Source organism: Homo sapiens, chromosome 7, assembly GCF_000001405.40.
Source record: "Homo sapiens chromosome 7, GRCh38.p14 Primary Assembly".
Lineage (NCBI taxonomy): Eukaryota > Metazoa > Chordata > Mammalia > Primates > Hominidae > Homo > Homo sapiens.
This window is the reverse complement of record NC_000007.14, coordinates 130,534,310-130,549,292: the sequence shown is the minus strand read 5'-3', so window position 1 is coordinate 130,549,292 and position 14,983 is coordinate 130,534,310. Positions and strand designations below refer to the sequence as shown.

Sequence of the window (14,983 nt, the reverse complement as noted above, 5' to 3'; positions counted from 1 at the left end):
ACGTAATAATCTTTCCCCTAGGCATTGTAAATATAAAAAGTCTACCAGTCTTACTCAAATTGATCGGTTCTCAATATAGGAAATCTTCGTGTGGCTGAACACCATAGGGTATAGTTGCTGAGGCTACCTGGAGTCCATGAACTTTCCAGTTTGTAATTGCTAATTGGGAATGTTTTTCTTTTCTGTATCTCGTTGGTTAACAGGGAACTCATTGTAAAATAAGTATTTACTTTCTTTTTTTTTTTTTTTGCTTTTTGCTTTCATTAATATATAAGCTTACTTACTTGAAAGATGACTTCACTAAAACTTGGGGACATATTAGTTGAATGTTCAACTATTAGTAAGGCTATGGAAACTAAAGCATTTTTTTTTTTTGAGACAGAGTCTCGCTCTGTCACCCAGGCTGGAGTGCAGTGGCACAATACCGGCTCGCTGCAAGCTCTGCCTCCTAGGTTCACGCCATTCTCCTGCCTCAGCCTCCCGAGTAGCTGGGACTACAGGCGCCTGCCACCACGCCTGACTAATTTTTTTGTATTTTTAGTAGAGACGGGGTTTCACCATGTTAGCCAGGATGGTCTTAGCCAGGATGGTCTCGATCTCCTGACCTCGTGATCCGCCTGCCTCGGCCTCCCAAAGTGCTGGGATTACAGGCGTGAGCCACTGCTCCTGGCCAACTAAAGCATTTTTTAAGCATCCAGACTGAAGTCTTTCCCTGTCTTCTTCATAGCCTACGTTCTTTTTTCTTGATAGAACAATTGGCTGCCATTCCTGAGTTTCTGAATATAGGACCCTTGTTCAAGTCTTCTGAGCCTGTTCAACTTACAGAAGCAGAGACAGAATATTTTGTTCGATGTATCAAGCACATGTTTACCAATCACATCGTGTTCCAGGTAAGATAATGCCCTTGGCTGCTGTAGAGATTTAGTATAAACTGGTATGCTTTGAGACAAATATCCTTTACCTATAATTCTAGTTTCTATTATAGAGAATTAATTTGGCAGAATTTCTGGTTTTCTTGCTTAACACCAGAGCTATAGAGATCCCTTCATGTGATGGGTAACTTTTGATGGTTAAAATCTAAAGGACATAAAACTGAAATGTGTGATGAAGTTGGACAACATAAAGTATAACCAATTTTCTAAAATCAGCATTTAACATCAGGGTAGATTAAGTGGGCTATTCTGAGAACTTAGATTTGACAGCCATCAGACTTCTGCCATCTTGTTTGAGACAGCAGTCTCAGGAAAGAGAAAAAACTGATGAATAATATAAACAAAAGACCTCAAGAATAAGGCTCTCCCTGTTGCCAAAAGAAGAATCTTAGGAGGAGACCTACCCTGCTCTGTAGAGATAGAAGGTATAGTGGGTTCCAGAGCTGAGTAGTGGGTTATGAGTAGGAAGGATAACTTGTTATCCTTCACAGCTTTTCCATTTACTGACTTTTCAGTTTGACTGCACCAACACTCTCAATGACCAGCTGCTGGAAAAAGTGACAGTGCAGATGGAGCCATCAGATTCCTATGAAGTGCTGTCTTGTATCCCAGCCCCCAGCCTTCCTTATAACCAACCAGGAATATGTTACACTCTTGTTCGTTTGCCTGATGATGACCCTACAGCAGGTACTAACCCTCAGAAGGGAGGAGATACGTGATTCAGAATGCATTTCCTTGTGAGCTCTTCAACTCTTCAAATGCTCAGTTTAAGAATGTGATGCTTTTCTAGAATTTAATGATGAGTGTTTGTGTGTGTGTGTTTGTGTGTGTGTGAATATATATATTTATAAAATGGTTTACTGCTGCAGAAATATTAATTTTAAAACTAAATCTCTGAGTAAAATTTGCTGAACACTTAATCTTAAAAGAGAAACTGAGTGTGTATAGCAGTAGCACAAAAAGGAACTCAAGCTTTCTGTTGGAATAATGTGACCACTTGTGAGAGTTCATATACCTGGTCTCCTGTGAAGAATCTTGACCCTCTTCTCCTCAAAGTTTCTATCTAGTTAGATAGAACTTGGTTATGTAGTAGATTGTTGGCATTTTAAAATACATCATTTTTGAAGGTCCTGTAGCATAAGGCTGGTGTCTGAGAGCATGTCTCAGCCTAGTGAGTAGCTTAGCCAACCATGTGTGTCCACATTAAGAAGGGCTTTTAATTCCCTCCTTGACCCATATGCAGTCTTTGCAGGGTGGAGAAATAGCCCCTAAAAGACAGCCAACTAGTGCCAATAGTAGTATTTACTTATTTGGAGACTTGGGAAGGTGAATGTCAAGTATTTATTCTACTTGATTCCCCCCATCATCATTTTCCTCCTTGATTTCTTCTCTTCTCATGTTCAGTGCACAATATTCGTAACTGTTACCCAGTTTTCACAGAAATAAGCACACACATCACATTTATGTTTTGAACAACTTTTACTGCTCGTAAGTACAGGAGAAACAGAAGTTAAAAAATTAACAAATACTGGGAAAGTTACAGAGTTACAATAAATCATAAAAGCACTAGTAAATAGTTATCCCTGGTCATCATTCAGTTACATTTGGGGCTTAACCTGCTTTCTTTTAGCCCCTCTCCAAACTCCCTTCTTAGATGTTGGTTCCTGGGAGCCCCTGTCCAGTCTTATCTGTGTTGGGTGATAGACTAGGCTACTCAGACTCTAGCACGAGGTAGATTCACGTTGGCACCACTGCTGTGTCTGAATCCCAGATTGTTCCCTCTGGCCCTGGGTGGAACTCTACTTCTATTCTTTAGCCACCCTGGATCCATAACCCCCTGAGTAGGAAGGCACTTTCCTATCTGGCCTCCAATATTTCTCCTTTGAGCTCGAGGCTATCTGGCTTTAACCTTTAATTACCTCCTTTATCCCTTTGTGAGGTTTCTCTAGTTCCATTTCCTTGTAACTTCGCTTTCTCTCCTGGTCTGTTTTTCTCTCCAGTTAGATTTGTCTGAAATATGTCCACTAGCCAGTAATTAAGCTGGCTGTACTCTTAAGTAAAGCTAGTTTTATTTACCTTTTTCTAAACTAGTATTTGGGCCCAATCTTAATGTAGTCCTGTGGTTTCTACCATTGTCTGGAGAGACTCTGCACTTCATCAGTTCTTTTCCAGTAGCCATCCCTCCATGTTTCAAAATTCCTCCTGCTATTCTACCTCTCACCAATGTCCTGTTTTTTAAGGGATGCTATTACTTTGCCACTTAATTTCAGAGGGAAGTGAAATGCTGAACCCATTGAAGAATCAATCCCTTGCCAATTGAGAATACTAGCTCTTCCCACTTCCCCAGGTTCATTTTGCTAACTAATAACTCAGGTGGCTCACACCCCAGAAAGTATTCTTAACGGAATCTAAGAAGTATAATTTTATAATACCAAAATACACAAAACAACAATATAGAAATTACATATAGTATAGGAAAAAACCAACAACAACAACAAAACATTTCCACCAAGAGAGGAAAAAGAGGAGAGGTTTTCTTGCCCCTCTTCACTAAGGAGTTTTAAAACATAGATCTTACAAATTAGCCCAGAGATTTCAACATTTGGTCTGCTGGCTATGGACTCTTTTGCTTGATGGTTTGTTTGATTTTTGTTTATAAAAGTTTGGCATTTAGGGAATTGTTTAAAGTTTTGTTAGTAGTAAGTTTATATTTGACCCATCATATACCTACTTAAAAAACAAACTCCTTTCTATTTAGTTTTTTGTCAGAATTCTCAAATTTTTAATCCATGGCCAATCTAAAGTCTATGCTGTGCAATGGAAGAAGTGAAATACCAGGGCATAGATGGTAATAGGTATCTTTCACCCATTCCTTCCTTTTTGCATTTTCCCATCACAGATATTCCAAATTTTACCTGTCACCTCAAGGTCTTAAACATCAATATGTCTCATTTCAGAAAAATAATATTTTTCCTTATAATCGCAGTGAAAAAACAGAAATTCTTGGTTTGATTTCCTTCAACTTGAAAACAGTATAGCATAATAGAAGGGAATATGGGTTTGATAGACAGATGAGGATTTGAATGCTGGCCCTGCTACATACTGACTGTGTAATCGTGGACAAATTATTTGATCTCTTAGGACTGTTATAGGATGAAATGAAATGAAATGAAATGAAATGAAATGAAATAATAGGTAAGTTGCTTCACATGGTGCCAGACACATAGAACCTTTTGGTGTTTAATTCTAGAATTATCCACTTTCTTCCTTTATCCTCTCTAAAATCAAGTCTTCCAGAGTTCAAAAGACACATACCCTCTAATCTCTTCCAGAAAGTTGTTCCATCAATTATTCCTTTCTTTGATCTATCTTTAATCTTTCCTACTCCCCTTTACTTTATAAATGTATAAAAATCTACCCTATCTGAAAAAATTTGCTTTAACCCAACATCAATATATTACCATAACACCTTCTCGCAAAGGTTGGGCAATTTCTTGAAAGACTATGGACATCCTAAGTCTCTATGTAACTAGTCCTACTTATTATCTTTCGTCCTCCCAGAATTTGTCCTTTACCTAAAAAGTTTTAGAAAAGCCTTTAAGGCAACATTCCTTCTAAGCATTCATTCTCTTTCAGCAGCTCTGTTTCCCCTGAATATTTATTGCACCCGTAACAATATATATTATATACACAACATTCTACCAATTATTCCCCATGTTTGACCTTTTTAATGCAACTACCAACTTAACTTTTTATTCCACTACCTATTCAAAACCATTCTAATCTTTATATTGCTTTTATTTATCAGGTTTTATTGCATCATATTTCTTGTTATCTGGAACCATTTCAACAAATATTAATAACTTATTTTAAAACAGTCTTTAATAGAAAATATTCATACTAAGATCAGCTGTAACAGTACATGTATGTGAGTTTATTTTCTCTGATTTTCATTGGAAATATTGCCTGCCATATAATGATTCATAATTATTTTAATTTCTTGACTTTCTGCCTACACTTCCTTAAAGTGCCATCTTAAGCTACTGTAGTTGCCCTTCCATTATTTTTTGTTCAGTATTAACCATATTAACTTGGCATTCTGTACTAAAAACACAACTTCAGTTAAGTAAGATTTGCCTCAGAGTTTTTTACTTTAACTCACCTCCACTCACCCACTGGGATCCATATTATTAGGCTCAGTGAAGCTTTGCATTCTTCTAAGCCAAGCATTTAATCTGAATTTTAACTCAAATACTAAAAAAAGCAGTATTGGTAGAACATTTGATTCAGCCACCCTTTCCCCTTCCTTTATCACTAGAATTTGCTTCAGTCTGGCTTTAAAATCAATATTCCTGCAGTCTAACCCATTGAAAGATCTGCCAGGATTCTCAGTCTGAGATTTCCTTATTTACCCACTCATTTGTCACATACCCAGTCTGCCATTCCTCAAACTCACTGAAATTTCCCTCATTTCCTTTCAAGCCATCTTTCTAACCTATTTGATACCCCTTTTCTACCCCATCATCTTCAATGTCTCTAATTTTTGTTGCTGACTTGACTTAAATGATCCTATCTCTACAGAATGCAACTTAATCATGGTGTACCCACTCATTTCTGCCTTTTGCCTTAGGGGAAAAACAAAACAAAACCCTGCTCTATTGGTAACGCCCAGTCTTTGTTCATCTGTCCTTGAAATTGATTCACAATGTGAATATGTATAAGCTTCCTCATGACCCACCTCCAGTGTTCAAAACACTTCCTTCCTGTTCTCTTGGTGTCCAACATACTTACCTGCATCCTTAGCTAGTAGAACTGACATTCTGAGGATTGCTGATGAAGCTCATCCTTCAGACTCCGCTTCATAAACCTATCTCTATATGGGACCGTTTATTCTCCTGACTCTAAGCATTCATCAAGTGTTTCCCTCAAGGAGCTTTAAGGAAGCCACCAAATTCCCTAATGACAAGTTCTTTCTATATAGTTTTCCTCTTTGCCATTATTCCATACTGTGGATCAAGGGGCAACAATACCCACCCTACCAACTCTGACATTCCTAAATCCCAAAGTGGTTTAAACTGTATACTGTCCCCTTAATTTCAATCTTGTTAAACAGAGTAATACTTCCTTCTCATTTTGGCTCTGCTAATTTTGTTGGAGACCACATTAAACACATAGTAACCTATGTCCAACCCCCACACTTGCAAATTTTACATTGTTAATTGTTTGCTTTCAAAATCCTGACCTTCAGTGATTGCCAACACTGCCTTCCATATCAGTTGGGGTTGCTTTACCATCACCCTCTATAAGGTTTCTTCTTTTTCTGTTTTCCTATTCAATGAAGTAGTTACCATGACAGGTAAAGTGTTGTTACCCCACTCGCTTGTCGTCTAGGATTTAACTTCTATTCCCTAAAATGCTCCTACACTCAGCCATGATACCGAACATACCACTGACTTGCCCCTGAGATTTGCCAGTGCCCCCACTTTGGGAACTCTGCATTCCACCTTCCCCTATTCCATGTCAGCCCTTTTACTGATGCTAAGCCCTGCACAAATTCATAAGGTTATCTCCCCTCCTACCTGCCTCCTGTCCCTTCTTTTACCATAAACTTCCGTCATCAAATTTACATCCCAATAACTGCCTTAGAATGGCTGCCAGACTCTCTCATTCCATGTGGTATGCCAGTGTAAATTTGCACAGTCTACACACAGTGTTGCCTCCCACTGTCATCTTCCAGAAACTCCTTTTCATCTTCAACATCCAGTCCTGCATGCCCTGCCACCTCCAAGTCAATCCACAGACTCAGGAATCTGTCCTGAACTCTGACCCCTTCCTGCCCTGCCCCCCACTGATGACACCACTGCCAGCTTCCATGTCCTCAACCTGCTGTACTGAGTCCATCTGCTGTCTCAGTTCACCCCTAACCGTCCTGTATTCTCAGTTCTGCCTCTAAGGAACAGTGGTTTCCTCTCTCTGTTGTGTCCTCTGGCCTTCCATCGTCTCGCCATGCCCTTTATTGACACACGGTCCTCAATGTTTCCAAGGTGCCAACACCTCTACACCCTGTTTCTGTGGCCTCATCTCACCTCTCCTTCATTCCTTCCGTGTCTTACCCACACCATGCTTTCTCCTCCATGACCTGCATCAAACACTTCACCCCTTTGGGGCAAAAAGGAGGATTCTCTACGTTCACACCCACACTCTTGCTCTTGGCATGCCTCCCTTGCTGCAGTACATTCCCTGATCCTCTCAACAAGCTCACCTCCGTAAGCTGCTGGCCTCCATAACCTGCTCCAACTCATTCTTCTTGCCCATTGGGGAACACCTCTCCTCTGTCCTGCTCTCCCATATGCTGCAAACTCACCCTCTGCTCTCCCAGCTCCCAGCTCCTGGGCCCAGGTTGGTCGTTTCTCCTGCTTTCCTCCTCTACTGCATAGCACGGTACTGTCCCACCTGCACCATGCTGCGTTCTCTCAGCACCACCTGCGATTCTGCCACTGGCCTAATTCGTGTTCTCAGGTGTGTCCTCCCTTCTTGACCTGGCCCCGCACCCACTGCTCCACCAGATGCAGTCCTCTCTGTGTCACACGTACTGCACTGAATCCACACGCTCTGCTGTCCAAGCTCACGTCCCAGTGGCCCAGGCTATGAGTCCTTTCCAGGGCCCCACAACCCTGACTCCCCTAAACCTTCCTGATTCTTTTCTCATCCTTTCTTTCACACTGTGTAAAAACACTCTGGGGAACATCTGCCTCTGAATCTCCTACCTTGTTCCTATCACCATAGCAATTTTGTCTTTGTCACTCACTCGTGTCTCGCTCTCTGCCCGTCCTCATCTCCCACCCCATACACACCCAGTCTCAACCTGACTCTCCTGCCCTGCCTGAGACTCAGCTCCTCTGCTCCTCCTGGGTGCTGCTGTCAGTCCCACCCTCCTCCCACCTCCTCCCTCCTTAAGGCCCGTGTCTTCAAGACGCTCTCCTTCCACACTGTCTCCATTTCCCTTTGCACCTTCCCTCCCCGTGACAACAGATCCCCTGCTCTCTGCTCTCACCCGCACAGCCCACTTCCTCTGTGTCACTAGGCCCTTCTCTAGGCCTCACTCCTCCACCTTGAGTCTGGGACCGAGGCATTGGAAAACCCAGTTCCACCACCAGGGTACCCGGTGCCTTTTCGGCTACATCCATCTGCTCGCTGTCATCTTTGTCCTGATCTGTCGGGAACTGTGTTCCCACACCTGACAGTCTTGACCCTGATGCCTCCATCAGCCCCACTGCACGTGCGTCTTCCCCTCACACTCCACGTGTCTGCCCGGCTCTCCATCCTCCCGCATCCACCAGTGATTCTCACCCGAGAATGCAGGACCCCAAGGCGGCCTATCAGAAGCATCTTTTGGGCTTGGTTTCTTCTTTTGCTATTGTCTATGTTCCTTTTAGAGACTGCTATTTTTTTTCCCTTACTTTTACTGAGCTGAACACTGCTCACCCCTCAGATGATTGGATAGCCCTGCCTGGGGGTCCATGTCCAGAGACCTCCCTCCACGTGAAATTCACCCCCTACCCCAGATAAGAATCACTGCTATGGATGGCCACCTTGACTCCCTGACATTACTCCCTCATTTCACACCTAGACCATTCTAGTGCTTGCCATAGGTGGCATTCTAGTACTTGCCATTTAACTTCCCACTTAACACATCTCATCTTTTGTCTGCCCACCCCCATTAGGCCTGGAACTCTCTGCTTGGAACCACTTCATTCCTTCCCTATTTGCCCTTTAACACACCTCTGACCCCAAACACCAGTCTGCATTGGAAACTTGTTCTTTTAATGCCTCCCCACCCGATACGTCTTGTCCTCCCACCTGATAGGACTCTTAGGCCCTGTGTCAGTATCTTCGGCCTCAACCTGTTTCTTATGGGTGCTTACTATTGTCAGTTTTCCTTAATCCCCACCCCTTTTTTCAGATCCCTTACAAGATCGGCCTGCAGAAACTTCCCCCTTTGTTTCCCGAGTTCTCAGTTGTTTCCTAAAAACCAGCCATTTACCTTGACCTTTCGACCTACAAGAAACCACTTTCATTTACTTCTTTCGGTGGATTTAGACGGCTACCCCAGCCTGTATTCATCACCTGCAACATTAGATATGTAACCCACCAGCTCAGTTAAATAAGAAAGTTTCCTCCAACCCAGAACTTGGCTCGATTCTCCCCATCTGGTTCCCTACCTCCTCTCCCACTCACACCCCACTGCTCCCAATCCTTCCCTCCTTTCCAACCCAGTCAGTCCCAACCCAAATCCCATCCCAAACCCCATCCCCTTCACCCAACCCACCCTTCCCCACTGCATCCATAGCAAAGACCCTGGCCCAAGATTCACACTTCTGCAACAAAGTTCAAGGCTTTAAGAGCAGCCATTCCTTCCTGCCCATTGCTGTCCACCCCTTTCACACTTTCCCTTCCCCTGCCGAACCTTGCAGGCTGCCCTGAGCACTCCACATTCCTTTGTTCCTACTCTGGGACCTCCCCGTTCACCTCGCTCCAACTATGGCTGTCCTGCCTGTGGCTGTCCTGCCCAGCTCCCTTCCACCATGCTTTCTGCCCTCCATCCTTCCCTGGGGGCCCCTCCACCCTGTCTGTCTTCTGTAGGTGACTCCCCTGTTGGCGCTGCCTCATCGTCCCACTTCCACATTCTTTCTTGAAGCCTTTCCCCTTGCATCCACATTTCTTCTCTTTGCTTCCTTGGCCAAGGGAAGGTACCTGCCTGTCTGTGGCCAGTATTTCTCTCAGCCACCCAGGGCCTGTCGCTTCATCTGACTCAGTCATCTCTTCTCCATAGGGATGTGCTCACTACTTTGACCTGCTTTCACCGCTCAAACTTTTCCATCCTCTCTCTATCCCACCTTCTCTTCAAGAACTGTTTTCTGTTGCTCCTCCAGATCTTCCACTGATTGAGGCCAGTGCCTTCCCTTAGGCTGCCTTTTCCTTCCCCTCTTCCACTCCAGCCTTGTTTCCTCTTTTCTCTTTCTGTTCCATGAAGTGAGTTCCTACAAAACTCTACAGCCAGTCCCGCCACTTCCTCCTCTTCCTCCTTTCTTCATCTCCATTATTTCCATTTACCTTGGATAGGGTCCCAGTGAGCCCATGCACCCCTGCCCATCACACCTGATCTTGCAGTACCCATTGAAGCTATCTGGATCCACCATTTCTTCTTTCCCTCTTGGCCACACTACCTTTACTATACCCTTGTTTAGAATTTAAGACCTTCTTCTTACACAGGTCCTGCCATCCATCCTGTTCTGCCTTTCCTCCTCTCTGCCCTCTGGAAAAAGTTTCCAAAAATGAAGCCCCCGTATCAGCACCCAAACCTTCATCCTATCCAAACTCTGGGCATGCCCACTGTGCCCATTTACTACTGACCTAATCTCCCACTAAATCTAAGATGCTACCTGTGTTTGAAGGCCCCCGCTTCCTACTTCACTGCACCTCTGTAGTGAAGTGTGGTGTAGTGCATATTTTCAGTTGCAAGCTACACCTCCATCCTCTCAGGCTCCCTTGACAACAGAGGTTCAGACTCAGTGGTCACTAGGAATTGTCTTCTCTCCATTAGTTCCCTCTAACACTTGCAAGTATCTTTCTGCCCACATACTAGACTCAAAACACATGAGTCCATCCCCTCCCAGGCCCCCAGCCCCCAAGGTTTACCTGCCAGTACGTTCCATGCAGGTGCTGTCTGAATGTGCAGTGATGCCCCATTTCCTCCATTTACCCTGAGTGACTTAGGCACCTTCCCCCTACTTTCCTTTCCTAAGGATCCACTTCTGAAAAGCCTGGGATTTTGCCTCCCTACCGTAATCCTATGGGTTGGCCTTGATAAGAAGCATGATACCAACTTCCCTGAGATCTGATAAAACCCCATTTGGGGAACTCTGATTTCCTCCTTCCCCTTTTCTGCATCGGACCCTGTACGGACACTAAGCTCCCCACAACTTCATGATGTTCTTTCCCCTCCTGCACCACAAATCTCTTTCTTTTCCCATCAACTTCCCTGACCCCACTCACATCACACCACCTCCATGTGGCTGCTCCACTCCAATGTCTCACTTTTTCCACACAAGGTTCACATTTAATTCCTGCACCACTGTTTCCTCCCACTTTCATCTTCCAGACATGCTCCACCTCCTCTTCAACATCCAGTCCTGCGTGCCCTGTCTCCGCCAGGTCAATCCACAGACTCAGGAATCTTTCCTGAACTCTGACCCCTTCCTGCCCTGCCCCCACTGATGACACCACTGCCAGCTTCCATGTCCTCAACTTGCTGTACTGAGTCCATCTGCTGTCTCAGTTCACCCCTAACCGTCCTGTATTCTCAGTTCTGCCTCTAAGGAACAGTGGTTTCCTCTCTCTGTTGTGTCCTCTGGCCTTTCATCGTCTCGCCATGCCCTTTATTGACACACGGTCCTCAATGTTTCCAAGGTGCCAACACCTCTACACCCTGTTTCTGTGGCCTCATCTCACCTCTCCTTCATTCCTTCCGTGTCTTACCCACACCATGCTTTCTCCTCCATGACCTGCATCAAACACTTCGCCCCTTTTGGGCAAAAAGGAGGATTCTCTACGTTCACACCCACACTCTTGCTCTTGGCATGCCTCCCTTGCTGCAGTACATTCCCTGATCCTCTCAACAAGCTCACCTCTGTAAGCTGCTGGCCTCCATAACCTGCTCCAACTCATTCTTCTTGCCCATTGGGGAACACCTCTCCTCTGTCCTGCTCTCCCATATGCTGCAAACTCACCCTCTGCTCTCCCAGCTCCCAGCTCCTGGGCCCAGGTTGGTCGTTTCTCCTGCTTTCCTCCTCTACTGCATAGCACGGTACTGTCCCACCTGCACCATGCTGCGTTCTCTCAGCACCACCTGCGATTCTGCCACTGGCCTAATTCGTGTTCTCAGGTGTGTCCTCCCTTCTTGACCTGGCCCCGCACCCACTGCTCCACCAGATGCAGTCCTCTCTGTGTCACACGTACTGCACTGAATCCACACGCTCTGCTGTCCAAGCTCACGTCCCAGTGGCCCAGGCTATGAGTCCTTTCCAGGGCCCCACAACCCTGACTCCCCTAAACCTTCCTGATTCTTTTCTCATCCTTTCTTTCACACTGTGGAAAAACACTCTGGGGAGCCTCTGCCTCTGAATCTCCTACCTTCTTCCTGTCACCAGAGTAGTTTTGTCTTTGTCACTCATTCGTGTCCCACTTTCTGCCCATCCTCGTCCCCCCGGTACGAATGCACCCAGTCTCAACCTGACTCTCCTGCCCTGCCTGAGACCCAGCTCCTCTGCTCCTCCTGGGTGCTCCTGTCAGTCCCACCCTCCTCCCACCTCCTCCCTCCTCCTTAAGGCCCATGTCTTCAAGACGCTCTCCTTCCACACTGTCTCCATTTCCCTTTGCACCTTCCCTCCCCGTGACAACAGATCCCCTGCTCTCTGCTCTCACCCGCACAGCCCACTTCCTCTGTGTCACTGGGCCCCTATCTTGGCCTCACTCCTCCACCTGAGTCCTCGAGTCTCGGACCGAGGCGCTGGAAATCCCAGCTCCACCACCATGGTCCCGGTGCCTTTTCGGCTACATCCATTTGCTCGCTGTCATCCTTGTCCTGGTCTGTCGGGAACTGTGTTCCCACACCTGACAGTCTTGACCCTGATGCCTCCATCAGCCCCGCTGCACGTGCATCTTCCCCTCACATTGTACATGTCTGTCCGGCTCTCCATCCTCCCGCGTCCACCAGTGATTCTCACCCGAGGATGCAGGACCCCGAGGAAGCCTATCAGAAGCATCTTTTGGGCTGGGTTTCTTCTTTTGCTGTTATCTGTGTTCCTTTTAGAGATTGTTTTTTTCCCTTACTTTTTCTGAGCTGAACACTGCTCACCCCTCTGATGATTGGATAGGCCTGCCTGGGGGTCCATGTCCCCAGCCCTCCCTCGGGTGAAACCCACCCCTCAACCCCAGATAAGAATCACTGCTGTGGACGGCCACCTTGACTCCCTGGCCTTTACTCTCCTATTTCTAGCATTTAGTATTTTGGTATTTCCAGGTACACTTCCTACTCATAAGACCAGCATTTCCCTCCCCCTGCCCAACAGTCCTGGCACTCTCCACTTGGAACCACCTCATTGTCTGCCCCATTTACCCCTTAACACACATCGTGCCCAAAAGCCCAGTCTGCATGAGAGAGTTGCGCTTCTGACACCTCCACACCCCACCCTTTATGCCCTGACCCATCTAATATGACTCCCAGGCACTCAGTTAATACCTTTGGCCTCAATCTAATTTTCGTAGGCCCTTACTACTGACATTTTTCCTTCATCATCCCTCCTCTTTTCATATCACTGACCAGGTGCCCCCAGAGAGACTTCCCATTTGGTGGTCATCATCCTGTTTGTTTCCCAGAAACCAGCCCTTTACCTTAACCTTTTACCCTTCCTGAGCTACTCTGTTTTTTCTTCTTTTGCCGGACTCAGATGTCTTCTCTAGCCTGTATTCATCAACCTCAACACTCAACATGTAATTGTCCACCAGCTCAGATGAATGAGATGGTGTTCTCAATGCCTACAGCTTGGCCCACTTCACCCCACCCCAACCCCTCCCCCAGTCCCAGTCCCACTGCCCCTAACCCTGCCCCACCCATTCATCCCATACCCAAACCCCACCCCAAACCCCATCCCCTCCACCCAGCCCACCCTTCCCTGCCGGATCCGTAGTAAAGAGCCTGGCCCAAGATTCACACCTGTGCAACAAAGTTCAAGGCTTTAAGAGCAGCCATTCCTTCCTGCCCATTGCTGTCCACCCCTTTCACACTTTCCCTTCCCCATGCCGAACCTTGCAGGCTGCCCTGAGCACTCCACATTCCTTGGTTCCTACTCTGGGACCTCCCCCTTCACCTCGCTTCACCTGTGGCTGTCCTGCTTATGGCTGTCCTGCCCAGCTCCCTTCCACCACGCTTTCTGCCCTCCATCCTTCCCTGGAGGCCCCTCCACCCTGTCTGTCTTCTGTAGGTGACTCCCCTGTCGGCGCTGCCTCATTGTCCCACTTCCACATTCTTTCTTGAAGCCTTTCCCCTTGCATCCACATTTCTTCTCTTTGCTTCCTTGGCCAAGGGAAGGTACCTGCCTGTCTGTGGCCAATATTTCTCTCAGCCACCCAGGGCCTGTCGCTTCATCTGACTCAGTCATCTCTTCTCCATAGGGATGTGCTCACTACTTTGACCTGCTCTCCTCACCGCTCAAACTTTTCCATCCTCTCTCTATCCCACCTTCTTTTCAAGAACTGTTTTCTATTGCTCCTCCGGATCTTCCACTGATTCAGGCCAGCGCCTTCCCTTACGGCTGCCTTTTCCTTCCCCTCTTCCACTCCAGCCTTGTTTCCTCTTTTCTCTTTCTGTTCCATGAAGTGAGTTCCTACAAAACTCTATAGCCAGTCCCGCTACTTCCTCCTCTTCCTCCTTTCTTCATCTCCATTATTTCCATTTACCTTGGATAGGGCCCCAGTGAGCCCATGCACCCCTGCCCATATTGCTTGCTATTGTGGCTGTCCAGATCCACCGTTTCCTCTTTCCCTCTTGGCCACACTACCTTTACTACACCTGTGTTTAGGATTTAAGACCTTCTTACACAGGTTCTGGCCTCCGTCCTGTTCTACCTTTCCTCCACTCTTGCCTCCAAGAAAGAATTACCCTTGCCTCTACCCATCTCTGCCACCCTGACTACCACTGGATTTACTCTGTATTGCTGCATCCCCATTTGCTACCGACCTACTTTTCCCACTAATCCTATGATGCTCCACTAGGTATGAAGCCTGTGCCCCCCACCCCCATTGGAGCCTCATGACATCTGTGGATATTTTGCTTCGAAAGCTGCACCTCCATATCTTTCTCCCACTCTTGGATAGCAAAACCAAGGATTAAGTGATTACTGCAAATTGTCTTCTGTGCATTGCTTAGCAGTCCCTCCTCTGCCATTTTATAAGCATCTTTCTCCCCACATGCTGGACTCAAACGATATGAG

The 14,983-nt window shown here is 46.1% G+C and overlaps 1 protein-coding gene and 1 long non-coding RNA gene across 3 annotated transcripts in view; one reads left to right on the top strand and one right to left on the bottom strand.

The window, feature by feature from the left end:
* Positions 1-14,983, top strand: part of COPG2 (coat protein complex I subunit gamma 2) — a 162,511-nt gene that overhangs the window by 119,456 nt on the left and 28,072 nt on the right. Inside the window, exons 19-20 of one of the 2 annotated variants that reach the window (NM_012133.6) lie at positions 751-890; positions 1,448-1,619. In NM_012133.6, the coding sequence (NP_036265.3) occupies positions 751-890; positions 1,448-1,619 (312 nt within the window). Of the gene's footprint in view, positions 1-750; positions 891-1,447; positions 2,507-14,983 lie in introns of those variants that run through there. The other variant, NM_001290033.2, reaches the window with a different exon arrangement.
* On the bottom strand, positions 2,393-5,840 carry COPG2IT1 (COPG2 imprinted transcript 1). The gene has a single exon (NR_024086.2). It is a non-coding gene; the product is annotated as a COPG2 imprinted transcript 1 (long non-coding RNA).